The sequence below is a fragment of the Homo sapiens genome, chromosome 13 (assembly GCF_000001405.40).
Source record: "Homo sapiens chromosome 13, GRCh38.p14 Primary Assembly".
NCBI lineage: Eukaryota > Metazoa > Chordata > Mammalia > Primates > Hominidae > Homo > Homo sapiens.
This window is the reverse complement of record NC_000013.11, coordinates 102,685,280-102,706,198: the sequence shown is the minus strand read 5'-3', so window position 1 is coordinate 102,706,198 and position 20,919 is coordinate 102,685,280. Positions and strand designations below refer to the sequence as shown.

The following is a 20,919-nucleotide window of genomic DNA, read 5'->3' as shown; positions in this document are numbered from 1 at the left end:
TTTGCTGGATTGTATAATAAGAGTACGTTTATTTAGTTTGGTAAGAAACCACTGAGCTGGGTCGGGCGCAGTGGCTCTCGCCTGTAATCCCAGCACTTTGGGAGGCCGAGGAGGGTGGATCACAAGGTCAGGAGATTGAGACCATCCTGGCCAACATGGTGAAACCCCGTCTCTACTAAAAACACCAAAAATTAGCCAGGTGTGGTGGTGGGCACCTGTAATCCCAGCTACTCAGGAGGCTGAGACAGGAGAATCGCTTGAACCCGGGAGGTGGAGGTTGCAGTGAGTTGAGATCACACCATTGCACTCCAGCCTGGGCAACAAGAGCAAAACTCTGTCTCAAAAAAAAAAAAAAAGAAGAAATCGCCAAACTGTCTTCCAAAGTTGCTATAACCATTTTTGCATTCTCACCAGCAATGAAAGAGACTTCCTATTGCTTTGTATCCTCACCAGCATTTGGTATTGTCAGTGTTCTGGCTTTTGGCCATTCTAATAGGTATATAGTGGTGTCTTGTTTTAATTTGCATTTTCCTGATGACATATGATGTTGAGCATCTTTTCATCTGCTTATTTGCCATCTGTGTATCTTGTTTGGGGAGGTTTCTGTTCAGATCTTTTGTCCATTTTTGATTGAGTTATTCATTTGCTTATCGTTGGGTTTTAAGAGGTTTTTTTTGCATATTTTGGATAAAAATCCTTTATCAGATATGTCTTTTGCAAATATATTCTCCCAGTCTGTGATGTGTCTTATTCTCTTGGTGGTGTCTTTTGCAGAGCAGAAGTTTAAGCTTTAATGAAGTCCAGGATATCAATGTTTTCTTTCATGGCTGGTTTGTTTTTATTTGACTCATTGTTTTCCTTCTCACTGCCCTTGATGACTAATAGGGACCTCTCCTCCACTTTCTGTGCCCCAGTATTCATTATGCCATTTCTATGGATCCTACACAATTGCCATGGGCATCAAATGAGATGGTGTTTATAGATGGGGTTTTTAAACTGAAAAGCAGCAGTACACCTATCAGGTGACATTACTAGTCTATTGACAGTACACACACACACACACACACACACACACACACACCACATGCACATATATATCCACATGCTTTTATTTCTTTCTTCTTTGGCCAGTGGATTGTATTCATTATACCAATTAAAAAGAGACCATCATTCTTTTTTTTAAAAAAAAAGGAAAAATGTAATAAAGAGACCAATTTTTAGTCAGGTGCAGTAGTCACATCTATAATCCCAAAGACTTGGGAGGTTGAGGCGGAAGAATCATTTCAGCCCAGGAGATCAAGGCTGCAATGAGCCATGATTGCGCCACTGCAAACCAGGCTGGGCAACAGCGCAAGCAAAATCCCAACCTGTTAAAAAGAGAGAAGACAGAGAGAGACCATTTTTTTTTTTTTTTTTGTATTACAGTTGACAATAGCATTTGAAATCTAAGAGATAAGAAGCTGTAAATGTCATCTTTCATTCCAGAGCTTTTAGAAGGTTACCTTTCTCTGTCTCAGGGAGAAGTGTATCTATTTCAGTGCCCTCTGTCTCTGGAAGGGACAAAAATTCTTGCATGACCCAGGTTCCTCATGCCACTTCTTGATCTAGCTGTGCACTTCCTTGTGAAATCTAGTTTTAGCAAGAAGCTTGCTAAGTCAGTTTAGCCAGAACCCTTGATATCTGATCATCTTCCATCTTCCTCATCTTCAGGGTAAGATTCCTCATCCTCCACCATCCCCTAGGTGATGTCTCATACCCCGACCTGTCTTCAGCAAGAATCCTGTTAGGTCGGTTTAGCCAGAATCCTCCTTACCCAGATGTTACCTCATAGTAATTTTCTATCCACTGACCCCCTCCCTGCTCCTTGACTATAAGTTCTTACTTGCCCCTGCTGTGGTAGAACTTGACCCTGTCAACTTGAAATAATCGAAAGAATTAGAACCTAGCTTGAAAGAAGTTATTTAAGCTTTGAAAAGCTGAGAATATCCATCTGGGAAACACAGACTCCAGAGAAATGAGGTGAGCGCTCTGACGTTAAAAATTAAGCTTTTGCTTATATAGGCAGAAAACAGAGAAGTTTAGTTGGATTGTAACATTTTCTATACAAAGCTGGTTTATGAGTTACGGCAATTTAAATGGTGACAGTTTGTTTGCTGCTTGTTTTCATTTTCTTTCCAATTTAAAACAGTATATTTAGTATTGCATCTTAAGACAATGTGATAGCCATAAAGTCTTTGTGTGAGAAAGGTAGGGAGAAAGTTAATCTATAATGAAGATCCACAGTGAATAGGGAAGAGGTCTTCCCTGAGGCCCTTAAGTCATTTACATTTAATAGAACAATGTAGGGAAGGAAGAAGTTTAATCTCTAATCAGAGAAACACAGGTTTCAGTTGCCTGGGTTATGTCTGCCTGCTTGCCTGACTCAGGCCCCATAATCACATTCCTTTAAGGGTCAAAATAATTTAAAGTTCCAACAGCTTAGATTTTGAATTATATATTTTCACAAGCCCCATCTCCCCCACCACAAAACCTCACTGCCGTGGTTCCTCCACCAACCCTGATGATCCTGAATAACATCTGCTTCACTGTGCTGTAACGAGCGTCGCTGAATAATGTTTCCTTTAACAGAAGCGCCAAGAACTATCTTTGCGATTTTGCAAGATTTTCCCAGTTTACATTCATCTCCTGCTTCAGGGTTTTCTTTCCATTTATTTTGACAAAACTAAATGAAACTGGCAGTTAACTTTAACTGAGTAATGAAAGACAACAAAAAGCAAACAGAGCTGGAGACAGAGAGAGAAAAAGAACACCAATGAATTAACTGTGGCAGCACCTTGAGATTTGATGTTTTCTGGCCTGCAGGCCTGGCTACGGGGCACCTAGAACCCTCAGGGCTAGAAGTTCCAGCTGCCCATTGACTAAGCTCTAGGAAAGGAGAGGAAGGAGCAGAAGAGAGCAGGGAGGGGAAAGGAGAAGGGCAGCACGTGAAGCTCTAAAAGCTTCTGATTTATTTTGCTGAAGATCTAGTCATCAGCTATAGAAAGAAAGGTGTCATTGGTAAATGTCATAACCAGGTGGTTTATGATAGCTCATGTTACCTCTATCCCACTGCAATGAGAGTATTTATTTGAAGCTGTCTCTCCATCAATTACAGGGAAAGATCTTGAGAAAAAGACAGTTTCATGTAACATCTTTCAATATATTTTATTCCATGGTACTTTGGAATTATTGTTATATAGCAAATGGCATATTTTAAAAATTACCCTTTCTAAATTTTTGTTGTTCGTATATAAGAATGCTGTTTTTGGGGTTGGTTGCAGTGGCTCACGGCTGTAATCCTAGCACTTTGGGAGGCCGAGGTGGGTGGATCACCTGAGGTCAGGAGTTCGAGGCCAGGCTGGCTAACATGGTGAAACCCTGTCTCTACTAAAAATACAAAAATTAGCCTGGCATGTTGGCACATGCCTGTAATCCCAGCTACTTGGGAGGCTGAGGCAGGAGAATCACTTGAACCCAGGAAGCGGAGGTTGCTGCAGTGAGTGGAGATTGCGCCATTGCACTCCAGCCTGGGCAACAAGAGCGAGACTCCGTCTCAAAAAAAAAAAAAAATCCTGTTTTTGTACAGGATCTTACACGCAGTTGATAAACTCCTTCATTAGTTCCAAATAGTTTGTCTATAGAATTTATTGCATATTCTATATGGAAAATCATGTCATCTACAAACATGAAACTTCGTTTATTCCTTTCCAATTGTTACAGCTCTTATTTCATTTCCTTGCTTTTATCATACTGTCCAGACTTCTACACAATGCTAAATAGGAACAGTGACAGTGGATATTGTTGTCTTTTTCCTGTCTTTGTAATTTTCCTCCATTTAATGTGTGTATTATGTATAAATAATGAATATATTTAATGTGGGCTTTCAGTGGACACATGTTGTCAGGTTTATGAAGTCTCTCTCTCTCTTTCTGTCTCTCTCTCTCTCTCTCTACATATATATATATGTATATATATACACACACACTTTTTTTTTTTGAGGCAGAGTCTTGCTCTGTCACCTAGACTGGAATGCAAGGGCACGATCTCAGCTCACTACAACCTCCACTTCCCAGGTTCAAGTGATTCTCCAGCCTCAGCCTCCAGAGGAGCTGGGACTACAGGCACCCGCCACCACACCAGACTAATTTTTGTATTGTTAGTAGAGACGAGTTTCACCATGTTGTTTAGGCTGGTCTCAAACTCCTGATCTCAAGTGATTTGCCCGCCTCAGCCTCCCAAAGTGCTGGAATCATAGCATGAGCCACTGGGCCCTGCCGAAGTCCCCTAATATTTATGTTGGTTTTAAAAGACCATGAATGATGTTGACTTGTACCAAACTTTTTTATATATCTTTCAAGATGATCATATAGTTTTTCTTCTTTAGTCTGTTAAAGGGAGGAATTACACACAAATTCCCCTTTTATCAGCTCCCACTAATATTGCAGCATGTGCCTTGTACTTTTCTTCATGCTCGTAGAATAATCATTTGACAAGAGTATGCACACAGCCACACATGCATGCACACACACGCACATACACACACACACACACAATCAGGCTAGACTAGAAGTATGTGTGATAACAAACCTCCAGCATCTCAGTGGTTTGTCCCCTAAACGTTTGTCTTGGTCATATAAGATTTGCACGCAAGGGGCAGTGGTTGTCCGTGAGAAGGTGCAGCTATGGAGGCAGCTTCCTTGAATGGCTTCATTATTTCTCCACCCAAATACTTTGCTTTTTACTAGAGAATGGGGTAGAAGCAGATTGGAGAAGTTCCCAGAGGCATTTCCTTCCAGAACCTGGTGGAGTTGGTATGTGAAAGGTGCTATGTCTCTCAGAGACGAAGGAAACAGAACCCCAGAGCTGAAGAGGCGCATCTAGGCCACTTATTTGGAAAGGGGGAGGGCTCAGCTTCCAAGGAACAGGCTCTCTGTTGCTTTTCACCTGGATAGATATTTAAATAATTCAGAGTATTTCCCCCCAAACCTTGACAGCATGGCCTCATGGGAGAACGTCTCTCCAATGGAGTCCATTCCTTCCCCTAGAACAGGGGAAGGAATGAAAGGAATTCCGCGTTGTGGCACATCCCAGAATAGTTCCATCAGGTAAACACATTCTTTCCTAATAGAAATCTGTTGGGAAAAAATGATCTTTCTGAACAGTGGTCAACTGCTGTTGCTAAAATCGGAGCATGATTAGTGACAACTAAGTCCCCTCTCAAAAGTGTCATGTCCAAGCAGCGGACGGCGCTATGGAAAGAACGGACAGCGTTGGAGGCATCTGCTCCTGGCTGGGAGTCGTAGGGTGTCAGAGTCATGGGGCAGCCTCTCCTGCTGCTTCCCAGGCCTCACAGTAAAACAGGAACCGAGGCATCCTTGCCCCTCCTCAGCTTCAAAGCTGAATCACTGTGAAGATATGGTGTTTCCACACTGATACATTTATTTCACTTCATTTATCTGAGGATTAAAGTGAGCTGCAGAAAGGTATCATTTATTAAAGTGGAAAATAGAATAAATGTCGTTGCCAGAGTATCCCTTATTTCAAGCACATTTTCAGTGTCAGACTTTCTCATCCAAACTTGTTTCCCAAGCACAGCGTTCCTCCGTGTAATTAATATCACATGCTTATAGCTCAGCTGCAAAGCATTCTTGGCTATTTTGATAACATGAAACCTGGCAGTTACCCGTTGTGATTTACACATAGTTGCAGTTGGAGATTTTTCTAAAATTACAATAAAATTTCTTTGAGGGGAAATCTGTTTTAAGGACTGGATTGGGGAAAGAAAATAAAAAATAGAAGCGAACAACTAAGTATGTCTATTCTCCAAAGTGCATATAAGTCTATCAAGGCAACACACTGGCCTTTGATCAGAGCCACTTTACAAGGCAGGTGATTTATGGACAGCCAGGCCATCCCCTGCAGTGAAGCCTGGGGCTCGAATGCTTAGGGACAGGCATGTGCTATTTTTAAAATAAAAAGACTATAACTTCACTGCTGTTTCCAAACCTATTGGATTATTTTACTGCTATGCTTTATTTCCTTCTTCACTGGTAATGTTGGTCATCTAAGATGAAACAGAAGTAATATTTTCCATGTTCGCAAGTCTGACAAATTTTAGTTTACAAAATTCCTTTCTCTGCAGGTGGAGATTTGACACTGTACCTGAGTGGGTATAGGATTTAATTGTTACCAGAGCCAAATCCAAAGCAGGAAGAATCCTGTCTTAAAATCCTGAAGCACAGGTGTTCTAAGTGGCCTCAGTCTTTGCATCCCATATAGAAGCAGCTGGCAGTCACAGCGGCTGCTCTCAGGGGACTCCCCCAGAAGTCTGGCCAGTGCAGGGCTGGGTCGGGGGGGTATTGCAGCAGCCCTGGACCATTTGACAGACAGGATTCTGACATTTGGGCCACTGTGTTACCAGCTAATTGAGGGACCAGAAGTTATGAAATTGCATGATTTCACTTTGACCTTTTCTCCATTACTCACTGGAAATCACACACATTGAATGTCGGTGGTTCCAGGGTTCTTGAAGAAGGTCTGTGTCTCCAATGAAACCCTCACTTCTCTGGGAGGGAATTCCCACTGAGTCTCCCTTATAAGTAGGCATGGTGGGTATGTCTTGCATTTGCCTGATCAGTATCTCATCCTTTGTGGACCTTTTAGGAAAGATCAATGTGGAAATCAATGAGTCTCCTATTCATATTCTGGGATGGGAACAGGAATAGCAGCCCAGGGCGAGCTGTGGTGAAACAGCCAATCAAGTTATTGTCAGTGGTCCCCTGGGATCATGTGCCTGTTATGGAAGAAGCAACGGAGCCAGGGAAGAAATGGACATCATCTAGAGGTTTGGACTTGGGAAGTGCAACTCCATTGCCTTTAGTTGCAATAGCTGGAGGAGACTTCAGGTTATTTTCCACTGTAGAAAGGGTGGGTCTCCACTGTGAAGTTGTATTTATGCAAATAAGGAAGTATGTATGCACTGGGTGAGAAGAAGGGTAGGAGGGCTATTATAACCCTTGCTTTTTATGGGTTATGGCCCTGCATCCCTTCTTTGAGTTGCCAGCCTGCTCTTCGTGGTTTGGTGCAAGGCTTCCCACAACCCAGCCCTGACTATAGGGGTGAACTTAAGACTAAGAGCACTCGGAATCTTTTTCCCTAGACATTGAATCTTGACCATAGATACACAGTGATGGATGGTGACTGCAGTTGTGACCTTCAATGGCAATGTTTAAACAGAAGGTCCATGAACTCCTGCTGCTGATATCTCTGGAACCAGAGCAGCCCTGGACCCTTTATATCTCAAGGCCGATGTGTTATAGGACCAACAGGTTCATATGCCCACTGTGTAGTAACAGGCCAATGCACTGAGACAGCCAGGAGGCAGCAGAGAAAGAGTTTAATGATTGCAGGGCTCCTAGTGAGGAGATGGGAGAAGACCCTCAAATCCATCTCCCCGAGAGTTCTGAGTTGGGGTTTTAAAGGGGATCTTGGAGGATGAGGGGCTGGAAAATTGGGGTCATTGATTGGTCAGGGTGAGGAGGATGAAATTATCAGGATGTGGAGCCTGTGTGCTTTGGTGAGTCAGCTTCTTGGGGGGTCCTTCAGACCTGCTGATGTGGGTGGTTTTAGTGGCATGTAGGACGTGAAAGAATATCTCAAAGGAAAACAACATTTCATAAGGTTCTAGTTGTTATCTCTAGAGCAGATAAGGGGATCTATAATCTTGTAACAGGGTCTATCTGATTCTAAGACAACAGACAAACAACAACAAGGAAGTGCGTCAGAGAACAGGCCGACCTCATGATCCATGCTGCGTGTGCTGCAAGCTCATTTTAGTCTCATTTCTCTCCCTCCCTTCTTCCCTGATGAATAAAGTTTATTGGGATGGTTTCAGATGCTCAGCTTTTCCATATGATTAGGTGAGTGATCCAGAACCCTTCCAAAGAACCCTGTGGACTCAACCCTCTGTTTGAACAACATACAAGATAATATGAGACATTTATTTATCGAGGACCCTCTGAGCACCTGGCACTGTGCCAGATTCTTTCAGATATATAAAATTTCACTTGCTCCTGTTGATTCTGGAAAGGAGCAACGGCATCTTATGAAGCTGTAGCAGATACTGTCCTGGCCTCGCTCATGTGTGTCAGATGTGTTGGAGTGCCCTGGCTGCTGCTCTGCATGTGTAGCTGAGGTCCTGCTGGAAAAATACCACCGGAGCTCTCTGCAGCTGGAGTGGAATAATTCTGAAGTGTGTGTTTTGCCTCCTTTCCCAGTGTCTCCCCATGGGGTTAAGCTCTGGTCGCCTGCTCCTGTTGCTGGTCTTGTGGCACACACGTGGCAGGATGTCACCCTTTCCCTGGGTTGCGTCCACTTTCCTTGCTGTGTTATTCACACTCCCCAAATAAAATACTTTCACTCAAATCCCTGCCTTGGAGTCTGCTTCATCGAGAAACCAGACTAAGTAAGATGGGGGCTTCTGGGATGCTTGGAAGATGCAGCTCAGGGTTGGTCCTGTGTTAATCCCTCTATCAATGCAAATCCACCTCCACCGTATAGACGAGAACACTGAGACACAGGGGAGGCGGGAACAACTCACCTGACATCACTCAGTCAGTAGACACCTAGGCTGGTAATTGTGGTTTACCCTTCATGGCAATGCTGATCCTTTGCCTGGCCCAGGGTGGCTTGACCTTTGCACTGTGGACATTCTGAGCTGGGTAATTCTTTGCTGTGCGGGGCTGTCCTGTGCATTGTAGGAGGTTTTGCAGCATCCTCCGTGCACTAGATGCCAGGAGCATCCCACCCCCTATTGCGATAACTAATAATGTCTCCCCCAAATTGCTGAATGTCCCCTTGGCAAGAGGGGAGGACTCCCCCTTGAGAACCACAGCCCAAGAGAGCCAGATTTCATAGGAAAAAAGGCAGTGCCCATCCTGACAGAGAGAGGCGAGTGACAGCACATGAATAGCCTCCTTATTGAGCCTTTGATCCAATCTTGTATCTTCTGACTCCAAATCTGGCCCACTTTCCATTATGTAGGCTTCTTGGGATCAATTGTTCCATTGTTCTACTTGTTAGAAAGTTCTTTCCTGTTGAGCCCAAATCTGCTTCCCAGTAACTGACTTCATCAGCGTGCCCTCCGAAGCCATGCAGGAGGACTAATCCTTTTCACCGGCTGCACTTCAACTATTTGAAAACAACTTGTGTGTCCCTGCCCTGTTCCCTCCCTGCCCTGCCCCCCGTCAATCCCTTCCTGAACCTTTGGAGTCTTCCCGTGGCTGCTTGGGCACTCAGAGTTTCGCTCAATAACAAATTCAGCAATTACAACACCTACTATGTGCCAGGAGCTACCATATGTCAGAGAACAATTCTCAGACAGGGAATTCAGACTTCTTGGTTCCTTCTCACACCTGCAAACAAGAATTGCCAGAGCCTGGAGTTGACGCATGTTAAAGCTTCCGGGTGATTTGGACATAGCCTCTGCCTACAGGTAAGTCCAGCATTTAAGAGCCTTTGATCTACCGTGGTCTAGCTCCAGGCAATAGAGCTCTGATGTATATCTTAAAGCAGCTATCTAAAAGATGGCTTTGAAGAAAGTATTAAAAAGGAACTGTTTTTTAAATTATTTATTTATTTATTTTTATTATACTTTAATTTCTGGGGTACACATGCAGAATGTGCAGGTTTGTTACATAGGTATACACGTGCCATGGTGGTTTGTTGCACCCATCAACCCATCATCTACATTAGGTATTTCTCCTAATGCTCTCCGTCCCCTAAGTCCCCCACCCCCTGACAGGCCCAGGTGTGTGATGTTCCCCTCCCTGTGTCCATGTGTTCTCATTGTTCGACTCCCACTTATGAGTGAGAACATGTGGTGTTTGGTTTTCTGTTCCTGTGTTAGTTTGCTGAGAATGATGGTTTCCAGCTTCATCCATGTCCCTGCAAAGGACATGAACTCATCCTAAAAAGGAACTCTTAATAGGATGCTAGGTTAAAGAGGTACATGTTTCTATCAAGTCACATTTTCAGTAAAATAGCTTTAAAAAAGTTTATACAAAAAAAATAAGCCTAGAAGTTGATACAAAAAAAAAAGTTGGTGAGGTTTCTTTCTCTAGATAGTAGAATTAAAGGAGATCAACATTTTTTCCTTCGTCCTTTGCTTCATTTTAAAGCTTGTAGAATGAACGCATATGTTTGTCTATGTGTGTGTCTACATGCATATAAATATACACACATATATTCACGTACATTGCAATCAGTTTTTAAAAGGTTTTTGTAGAATTGTACTGATGACTATCTTTTTGCTATTTCTCATAGGGACTGATGACACCTGGAAGAAATAAGTTGCAGAGATGCAGAATGCAATCATAGAACTAGATGCATTTGGGGAATAAGAAAGCATTAGAACGATAGAGCTGGAACAAATGCCGGCTTATCCCCAGTCATTTAAGAAAGTGGGAAAGGTGATTTACATGGGACCACAGCACATCTAGATGAACATCCTGAGTGAAAAGAAACTGACATAAAGAACACAAAATAGTGACACCAGAGAAACGAGTACCGAGGGTGGGTACAAAAACAAAAATGGGCTTTTATATCTACTCAGGTTAAAACACCATTCATCCAACTCCCTGGTTGAATGTAGCCTATCACAAGTGATTCTTTAATTCCCATTTGTCTGAGGCTTTACTTTGTGTGACCTATATTCTATTTTAAGGGTTTCTGAGCTTCACAAATGAGCACATGATTTTTCTCCTTCCCTTTTGACTATCCCTTATTTCAGTTAAATAAATCACAATGGCTTACTTTTTCTTGGAAGAGTTTTTCTGATTTCCTCTTCCCTCTGCTCTAAATCCCCCAGATTCAACGTTAAGCCTTTGACTCCCGTCCCTTCTCATGGATAGATGCTCTCCTTTCTTCCTCCCCAAAGCATTCCCTTCCTCTTGGTAGATCCTTGTGTTCTTTCTGGCTGCCTGGATACGGGTCCTAGGCAGAGGCTGGGTGGGCATGTCCTCCCTGTGGCTACTGGAGTTTGGCAAATGAGCACAAAATTTGCAAGTCTGTGCAACTGTCCAACACCCACTTCTTTGAAAAGTGAACTGGAAGTCTAACGTTTCGAACCACATCGCAGCAACTGGATGCCACAGGGGCAGCCTCTGTTCTGTTCCAGTGATATTCCTGAAACTTTTGAAGGGAATTCCATTGAATGTTGCTAGGACTGTGCGTGTGTGTGTGTGTGTGTGTGTGTGTGTGAGAGAGAGAGAGAGAGAGAGAGAGAGAAAGAGAGAGAATTCTAGCAAAGTAATGTGTCTATGAGGACTGGTAGATAATGCTACCCTAAATAACTTGGGCTTCCACTGGCTGGATTTTGTTCATCAAATGCTAATCCTTTCAGGTGTAGACCTATATAAAACACTGGGGATTAAAGAGTGCACAGAAGCCTCACATCTCTTCTGCTGCATAAGGTAAAGATACGTGTAACAATTCAAAATTATTTTGGGCATACTAACAAGGAGTCATTTCCAATTCTGTATTAATTACGAACATGCGATGTAGATCATAGATGTGCTGAACTAGTAACAGTCAGTCAGTAGATTATAGTCGTTCTTTTGTAGATTGCTTTTCAATGCACAGCTGTCTTTGGGACAGCCGGCTATGGACGTGTGTCTGAGCTCCGCGCAGCAGCCTGGGCGCCGGGGGGAAGGACTCAGCTCCCCGGGTGGCTGGTTAGAGGCTGAGAAGAAGGGGGCTCCGCAGAAAGACAGCACCGGGGGAGTCCTAGAAGGTAACCTCCTTCTTCATCACTTCAACAGTTTTCCTCAGTTGTTTTCCTGGCGATGACATCTTCAAGTAAATTTCAGTGACAAGAATTTCCATTTCCTTTTAACATTAGATTTTTTGCTATAATGAAGCTTAGCAGAAAAATGTTTTGCAAGTATAAACATAATTCCTGTTTTTTCATTATTTACTTATTAAAAGTAATTCCTGGTTTTTCATTACTTATCAAAGTTTGCACATTTGTTTTTTTTCTATGTATAGATCTAAGCTTGCTGTATTTTTGTAACAAGAACTTAAAAGAAGAACAAAAAATCTAGGTTCATTTCTGCTTTTCACCAAAATACATTCTTGGTAGCTTTGTCATACAGTGAATCTTTATAAATCAAACTGTATTTCCCCGTTAGGACAATGTAACAGTTTAGGGTTACATTTCTGGGCATGGATTCAGTTGTAAATAAATAATAGACATAACAAATGATCTAATAAAAGCCAAGATGCAGCATTTACAGTGTTCATAATTAAAGGTGGTAAAAAATGTATCCCAACTCCAATAAATGAGAATGTTGTCTATTTTTACTGCATTGTTTACGTAAAAATGCAACTCTACCTTATCTGAAAATCTGATCTCTCTAAAACTATCAGAATAGCACAGAGAATAAATGAAAATATTTCAGGCACAAAAACATATGTTTCTTTATCGTTGTAGAACCTCACAGGGTCTTATGAGAGAATACGTGTATGTCTATGTTTCCTTACAATGTTGATTGGAAAAGTGCAGCTGTCAAGCTTAATATTTGTCAGTTTATTTACCTGTGAAATGATGAGCCATTCAAAATCAGCCTACTTACTCTTCCTAGTCTCTAGAGAAAAATAAGTCCCCAGATGGTGACATTTGGAAGGAGGGACAGGCATGGCCTGGATGAGAGTGGGGCAGGGCAGGGAAGCCGGCAGGGGCTGGTACAGGTCCCTGATGCTCTGAGCCACCACCCAGTGGTGTGCTGGCGACGGCTTGTACTGGCACCTGAATTTCAGCATTTTTTGTAGCTGATTGTTATATATAACCATCATTTAAATTTAAGTTAGAATCTTATGATTAAATAGATTATATTAAAGACAAAGGTATATTAAAAGCAAAGTTGATAAACACTCAAAACTCATCATCAATTATTCTATTACCTCTTCCTAATATCTATGCTCTCGAGGTTAATCGTGTCTGTGGTGTCTGTACGGTAGGAACACTACACAGTGGCGAGGTACTGCACGTCTTTCCCCAGCGAAGTCATGCTGCTTCTCTGAAAACGGCACGGTGGGAGTATTTACTCCAGAGCAATCGTCAAACGCTGTCAATCACCGCTTCTTCCCCTCTTGCTGAACTAGTTATTAAACATTAATCACCCTATTTTTCGGCCTTCCTCCTGCCTCTAAACCAGAATTCAGAGCCAGCCTCTCAGCCCTGTGTTGGGAGCTGGGGTTCTGCTAGATGTCAGTGGCTTCCCAAAAGAGGTGGGGAAAGCTACAGGGCTCCCTCCTTTCCCTACAATCTCCCTACAGCCTCCTACCAGGGCAGGTGACCGCAAAGGACAAGGTCTCAGGACTGAATTGGTTACCTTTATTAGAGGCGTCTTGCAAGTTCACTGAGGTCCCAGGTTTCTGGAAGCTCACCTTTTTTGTCAGGGCAGAGAATTCTCCTTCAAAGTGGTAGAACATACTAAATCAAAGTCACAGGCTAAAACAACACTCTGAAGAACTGAAGGCACCCATGATGCTAATTTACAAATGAGTCACTTCATTCACATTTTTTTTTTAGTGTGCTGCACACTGATACTTTTGTAATATACAACAAAAATGAATTTCTAGAGAAATTAAATGAAAATATATACAGACATATAAAATACAAGCTCCGGGTTTTGTTTGTAGTTAGATTCAACAGGCATCGTCAAATGGTTGTGACTGTTTCTAAAGGCTCACTCCAAATCCCTCTACTTACTGTGGAGCTGTTATCAGCATTTGCAGAGCAGTGGCAGGGAACTGTTCCAGTGTGTATGGAATGAGTGAGACCTGAAACACCCGGAGGCCCTGCCCCCGACCTGAGGGATGCCCTGCTGACCAGGTTTCTCCCAAGACCCACTTCCCTTTGCCTCGTATTCACCTCCTCCTGCCTTCCACCTTGAGAGGCTATTTCAGATTAAAACACTTCCAATGTTCACCGGCTGCCCCCTTCTACCTTTGTCCAAAGCCCATATTTGACCCCCGGTTAAACATTTTACAGTCATATCCCAGGCCACAAAGGCAGGTTTCGTGCAAACAAAACTGACCTTCCTCCCCCCTACTCTCCGCACTGTTAATTCTTTCCCACCCGCTGGGACCAACACCTTTTCCTCTGCTCCTGCTCCTTCTTCCACACACTTTGACTCACTGCTCTTTTATTCCTAAACACTCTGGAAAACCTGCAAACACTTGTGATCTCTTGATGTCAGCCCGATCAGGTGCTCTTTTCCTCTCATTTTATATGCCATCTGAGAGCTGCTAGATGGGTCATGGGTTTAAAGGAGTATTTAAAGCAATAGTAACTTAATAGCCAGAGCTCAGCTGACATCCTCCCCCAGGGCTGTGGGGCTGGCTGGGCCTCTACCTTTTGAACAGCAATTGTAGGAAAGATTGAAGGAACATGCTCCAGCCAACACGTGGGAATGTTACTTCACTTCAAGACCTAAAAATAGGCAGGTCTGGCGGGGCGTGGTGGCTCACGCCTGTAATCCCAGCACTTTGGGAGGCCAGGACGAGTGGATCACGAGGTCAGGAGTTTGAGACCAGCCTGACCAACATGGTGAAACCCCGTGTCTACTAAAAATACAAAAATTAGCTGGGCGTGGTGGCGCACGCCTGTAATCCCAGTTACTCAGGAGGCTGAGGCAGGAGAATCACTTGAACCCGGGAAGCAGAGGTTGCGGTGAGCTGAGATTACACCACTGCACTCTAGCCTGGGCAACAGAGTGAGACTCTGTCTCAAAAAGAAAAAAAAAAAAAGGCAGGTTTGTGTTTACCTAGTTCCTCTGTATCCAGACAGCTCATTCGTGCAATTTTGCTGGTAAGTTCGCCATTTTTCCATCAGCAAAATTTAGGGTGGGGACCGATCCACACATCTTCTGTCCTCCCCTAAATAAAGAAAAGGCCCAGAGCATTCTTTGGCATTTTGTCATCTGATAAAACTGTCACATCCAAATTTCATGTCCCCATCACCCCATATAATTCAATTTTGTGCCAATTTGCAGCCGTTCTCCTTGATAGCATCATCCCTTCTCTTTATGTAAAGGTCATTCAATCTAATGCCATCTTAGCAATTATACCAAGTGTGTCTTTGCACTGGATTTGAACAAATCATGAACTCCATTTTATTTTTCTGCTTCACAGAATCCAACAAGATAGAACCATCTCTTCATAGCCTCCAGAAATTTGTTCCTACAGATTACGCCAGCTACACTCAGGAGCATTATCGGTTTGCAGGAAAGGAGATTGTCATCCAGGAATCCATAGAGAGTTACGGAGCGGTGGTGTGGCCAGGGGTGAGAGAACTGTCATATTTGTGATGTCAGGATTTCTGGAGATAACAATTCCGTACTTCAGAGTTGCCTTGGACAATTTGTCAAGTTCCTTCATATCCTGCTTCTCAATTTGAGGTTCAGTTGCTTGCCCCCTGGAGGGTGTTGGTGGAGTGCTTGGGATCAGCAAAAACAGTGTTTCTTTCAGAAACACTGGTTTTGCTTCAAGCTCTGTTTCTCGAAACATTATTTTTATATTAAATAAACTCAGCTATATGAGGAAGTGAATGCAAAACTTGTATAAATTGTTAAGAATAAACCCAGGGATTTAGAGTTTAGATTTTGCAGTGGGCATCTCCGAGCCACGCCCATCGACCCTCAGCCATTCATCTCTCTCTTTTTTTTTTTTTTCTTTTGAGATGGAGTCTCACTCTGTTACCCAGGCTGGAGTGCAGTGACACGATCTTGGCTCACTGCAACCTCCACCTCCTGGGTTCATGCAATTCTCCTGCCTCAGCCTCCCGAGTAGCTGGGACTACAGGTGCGCGCCACCATGCCTGGCTAATTTTTGTATTTTTAGTAGAGATAGGGTTTCACCATATTGGCCAGGCTGGTCTTGAACTCCTGACCTCAAGTGATCTGCCCACCTCGGCCTCCCAAAGTGCTGGGATTACAAGCGTGAACCACCACGCCCGGCCGGCCAGCCATTCATCTCTTTTCCATGGGGGCTGTGTCGGTAGGGATGTTTAGGAAGCATGACTTTGTGGCATGTCACCCCTGCCACAGCCCTGAGAGGATGGCGCTGAAATGGGGGCAGTCCTCTGGATTTTTAGTCAGAAAAGCTGCCATTTCAGGGCTGGGTAGTCACAAATGTTCACCTCACCTCCGTTTGCCTTCATTTCCATATTTAAAACCTAGGGTGGTCGTAATGTCTACAGTGCTCCTGACGTGGTTGTCAGAATTGTGAGAATTAATTTCAGATTGTGAGATTAAATGAAGTCCTAGCGTAAGCTCACATGAACTGTCCTCATTAATGTAATATTCTTTCCACCTTTCAGCTGAGGAAATGGGAACGCAGGCCAGTCTGCTGGCGTGGTAAAGCTCCCGACTGGGGTGCAGGGCAGAGCCAAGATAGACAGTGGCCCTCAGAGCCAGTGTGGTTGCTTTTCCCACTGCGGATGTTGTCAGTGATTAGAAAGGCTCCAGATCAGAAGTTCTCAATCTGCAGTCTTGTTAAAATGCGGATTCTGATTCAGGAGGTCTTACACATTCCGGGGTGATGCCTATCTGCTGGGCCAGGGTGCCCACATTGAGTATTCCTGGTTAGTGGTTCCACGGGGCTCCCTCAGGTCATCTGGCGATGGCACAGGATGGGGAGAAGGGTAGCCAAAGGGCTTCAGGCTCTTAGGTGTCGACCTTCACTCACTCCCAAACAGGGAGCTCTATTTTTACACCTTATGCATATAATTTCCTTCAACTAAAGGCTTTTCTTTGCCTTAAAAACGAGTTTGAAAATCACCAAACTACTCACAGCTTCCTATTGTAACACATTCAGCAAATAGACGACAGCAGTGGTGTAGCGAGAAAGTGGTATAGTAAGAGATCAGAGGCCGGGCATGTGGCTTATGCCTGTAATCCCAGCACTTTCAGAAGCCGAGGCAAGAGGATCGCTTGAGCTCAGGAGTTTGAGACCAGCCTGGGCAACATAGTGAGACCCCATCTCCCTTTTAAAAATAATAATTTTAAAAAAAAGATCAGAAATTGAAAAAAGAATATTTGTCCCCCTGTTTTATTCTGAACAAGGTATCACTCATGCACCAAACACTAGCCTCTCATGAAACCTGCTTCCTGAAAGCTGCACAAGAAGGGCATCTAGAGTGGGAAGGCGCCCTTTTCCTGTGCGACTTCAGGTGCAACTCTGTGAAAAGATCTCTTCAGAGTTTGCTAACAGGACAAGGGGCTGGCGGGGGAATGTTTGCAATGTCAAAAGACACAGCTGTCCCTGAGAAAAGCTTTGTCTCCGCATGACACCCTGCGGCCAGCCCCTCACAGGGCAGGGCACCAGGAAGGACCCCTGCAGCCATCTCCAGGAAGTTCCTCAGAGCTGCCCTCTGAATGGCTCTAGGTGACACTCTTTTCCTGACATTGACCCCCTCCTCCCAGCCCCCACAGCAAATACTTCTCTTCTCTCCTTAAGGACCAAAGAACTCCTTTCTTCAAAACTTCCCTTCTAAGCTCTGGAGCTCCCTGCAGCGTGCTGCAGTTGGTGCTATTTATGTCACACCATGTTGCTATTTTACCCACCGCCCTGGCCTTCCACACCAGCTGGCTTCTCCCCGGCCCCATGAAGTCGGCCCAGACTCCTCGGCGGCTCTGTGGTGACCCCTCTCCCTTCAACCAGCTGTCTGCCTCCTCTACAGCACTTACCTCCCCAGAATTCAGTTTGTAATTGGCTGACATGGCCCCTAAGCCCCACCACTGAGTTCCCAGACAGTAGAGGTGACTGCGTCATATTCATCTTTGCCCGTGGCAGTTCAATATGAACAGATGAGGATGAAATGGAGTGACGTACAGGGTCAGGTTGGCTACCAAACCTACCACTGGTAATCCTAAGAGTGACACGTCTCCAATCATCCTGGCTGCCCCCACTCCAAACTGGGCCCCAAATAGAAAGTAGAGTCCAGAGGAAGATGGGGGCATATCTTTAGCTAGGGCCTAAATGTATAAGTAAATTATAGAGTTCATTGTTTTTTAAATCTCAGTGTTCACGTTCCTCACGCTGGGCTATTTATACTCAAATTTAAGTAACTTTTTGTCATTTCTTCTCATAACTCTTCCTAATCTCTCCAATCAAGGGCACTGCTAGTTGATGCCTCATTGCCATACACGTAAACACCTCAGCAATCAATGCAAATCAAATACCCTTTACTCTTTGTGGAAAGGTTAGAGGAAGGTGGAGGGAGAAGAGAACGAATAAAGAAGAAAGGGAAGTTTGATTTCCTGTATAAAAAACTAACAATATTTGTTGATATATAAAACATTTAAAAAAATCTGCTTGCTACTACTCAAAGTGGGTACATGGGCCAGCAGATGAGCATCATGTCAGGGCTTGTTTAGACGTGCAGGATCTTGAGCCCCACTCTCGACCTACTGAATGAGGATCTGCATCTTTAACAAGCTATCCAGGGAATCTGTTTGCACACTGAAGTCTGAGAAGCAGTTTCTGAACTGTCTGTTTCTTAGAAGAACCACTTTAAAAAAAGTCACTAACCCGTCGCTCAATACGGCAAAGTGCTCGCCAACCTGAATTTTGGTAAAGGAGTCAGGAAAGAGGTGTTCAAGTTTATAAATTGACATTTTAAAAAATTACTTCTATAATTTAAAAAACTCTCTTACAAGAAAGAATTCTAACATAAAACAACATTCCTAAAGCAGTTGGAGACCAACATGATTAAACCAGTGGAAGGAGTTGCTGTTCTTTTAGCCCAACATTGCCCTGATTTGAAAGAGCTAAGCTGATCTACTGTTCTTCCTATTCTTTGGAGATTTAGGAGGCAATTTAACAAATCTTTTTCCCCAGTTCCTGAGATGCAATTTATTATAACTTCTTTATTTCAGAGGTCTAAATATGGCATTGAGTGTACATTTGGGTTCTTATGAATATAAACTGAACATATGTAATAACATGTCTTTTAGTATTTAAATTTGGGTGCCAGAAAGGGTTGCTACTGGTTTCCAATGTTCCAATGCCCACATGAAAAGTTATAATTATTTTTTAGGCTATGGCTTTGTGTCAATACTTGGAGGAACATGCCGAGGAATTGAATTTCCAAGATGCAAAAATACTTGAAATTGGTGCCGGACCAGGCCTTGTTTCCATTGTGGCCAGTATTTTAGGTTTGTTTGTTTATTCCTGACCTAGTATCCAGATCTTTACTGTAACAACAATAGCAAGTGCTTACTCTATGACAGGCTGTGGTTTAGGTGCCTGGCCCTAACTTCACTCAGTGACTCTCCCCAAAATGTCATGCGGCAGGAATTACTGCTGTTATCTACAGAGATCATTGAGTCTCAGAGAGGTTAATAAACTCCAATCAACCAGTTTCCATGGGACGAAGTTGAGTCCAGAGGCATGACTCTGAATCTCTGTTGTCAATCCCACAGGTGAGGTGAGGTGGGGGAGCTACTGACATCAGGTGGTTGGAGGCCAGGGAGGCTGCTCACCATCTTACAGTGCACGGGACGGACCACCCACAAGAATTAGCCAGCCCACATTAGGTCAAACATGTCCAGCCCACCCACCAATAGAGCCAAGGCTAAGGAATCCAGTTGTTTCTTGTGTTTCTCCCTGGGTATATGTACACTGTGACTGCCCAGATGTTTCCAGGTCATTGTTTTCTTTTTCTCTTAGGAGCTCAAGTCACAGCAACAGATTTGCCTGATGTCCTGGGAAACCTTCAATACAATCTTTTAAAAAACACACTACAATGTACAGCACATCTGCCTGAAGTGAAAGAACTGGTATGGGGGGAAGACCTGGACAAAAACTTTCCCAAGTCAGCTTTTTACTATGATTACGTCCTAGCCTCAGATGTGGTCTACCATCACTACTTCCTGGACAAGCTGCTCACCACCATGGTGTACCTTTCCCAGCCAGGGACGGTGCTGCTTTGGGCAAACAAATTCAGGTTCAGCACCGACTATGAATTTTTAGATAAATTCAAGCAAGTTTTTGACACAACACTGTTGGCTGAATATCCAGAGTCATCAGTCAAACTTTTTAAGGGGATACTAAAATGGGACTAAATCCAACAAAATGCCTTTCACAACGTTACTGTGTCTTTTGAGCAATGTGTTAGAAATTGCTTTGGTAATAGACTTCTTTCACAGGATTGAGAAGGTAGTGCATAGAAACAACTTGTATACTTGGAACAAATGTAACAATACTGCAGAAACTTTCTAATTTCTAAGATAATTTAAGATTATCTGGTTAATCTAAATATCTAAAAAGAACAACATAAAAACATGAAAGTAGCTTTGTTGGTTCCAACGAAGTTACATGTTTAATAAATCTTACATGGATAAAGTAATAAGTGAATTTCTTCCCTATTTCTGCTATAGAGCATATGTTTAAACTTGGCAATATAGTCTTGTCACATGCTTTTTGAAACTGGGCTTGACAGAGTCACTATATCTTAGTTTGAAGAATCTACTTTTGCAGATTTTTAACTGCAGCAAAAAGAGGATATTGAATGATAGAAAACAGTTAATAGGCTTAAAGTTGATTAAAAGTGAAAAATAAAACTGCCGGAATGAGAACAATGTTGTCTTAAGAACTTCTTAAGATAATTTACAAAGAGTCTCCCTCTGTGTCAATTATCTTAATAATTTCTAGTTAATTTCTGTATTGTCTGCTTTTTTCACAGTAAGTATTTTAGGCTCTCTAGTCACATACTATGCTATATATATATATATATTTGTTTGTTTGCTTTTACAACCATTTATGAAAAGGTAAGAACCTTCTTAGCCTGCCCAAACAGGCCTCAAGTTAGATTTG

At 43.1% G+C, this 20,919-nt stretch overlaps 1 protein-coding gene across 2 annotated transcripts; it reads left to right on the top strand.

Annotated features, from left to right (window-relative positions):
- The first annotated feature begins 1,898 nt into the window (after window positions 1-1,898).
- METTL21C (methyltransferase 21C, AARS1 lysine) lies at window positions 1,899-20,452 on the top strand. Of its 2 annotated transcripts, XM_047430117.1 has the most exons (6): window positions 1,899-2,019; window positions 10,363-10,611; window positions 11,441-11,830; window positions 15,235-15,386; window positions 19,142-19,259; window positions 19,774-20,452. In XM_047430117.1, exons 3-6 carry the CDS (start codon window positions 11,701-11,703, stop codon window positions 20,166-20,168), a joined length of 795 nt encoding a protein of 264 aa, XP_047286073.1. In that variant the 5' UTR covers window positions 1,899-2,019; window positions 10,363-10,611; window positions 11,441-11,700; the 3' UTR covers window positions 20,169-20,452. The 2 variants fall into 2 exon arrangements, with proteins under 2 accessions (XP_047286073.1, NP_001010977.1); NM_001010977.3 differs by lacking the exons at window positions 1,899-2,019; window positions 10,363-10,611 and having other exon boundaries at window positions 11,155-11,830.
- Window positions 20,453-20,919: the final 467 nt, after the last annotated feature.

What these genes read in the sequence shown, in the direction of transcription:
- METTL21C (XM_047430117.1), top strand. Translation starts at nt 11,701, where the DNA reads ATGGACGTGTGTCTGAGCTCCGCGCAGCAGCCTGGGCGCCGGGGGGAA. An exon ending in CACCGGGGGAGTCCTAGAAG is followed by an intron (nt 11,831 to 15,234) that starts GTAACCTCCTTC and finishes TCTGCTTCACAG; the next exon opens with AATCCAACAAGATAGAACCA. An exon ending in GAGCGGTGGTGTGGCCAGGG is followed by an intron (nt 15,387 to 19,141) that starts GTGAGAGAACTG and finishes ATTATTTTTTAG; the next exon opens with GCTATGGCTTTGTGTCAATA.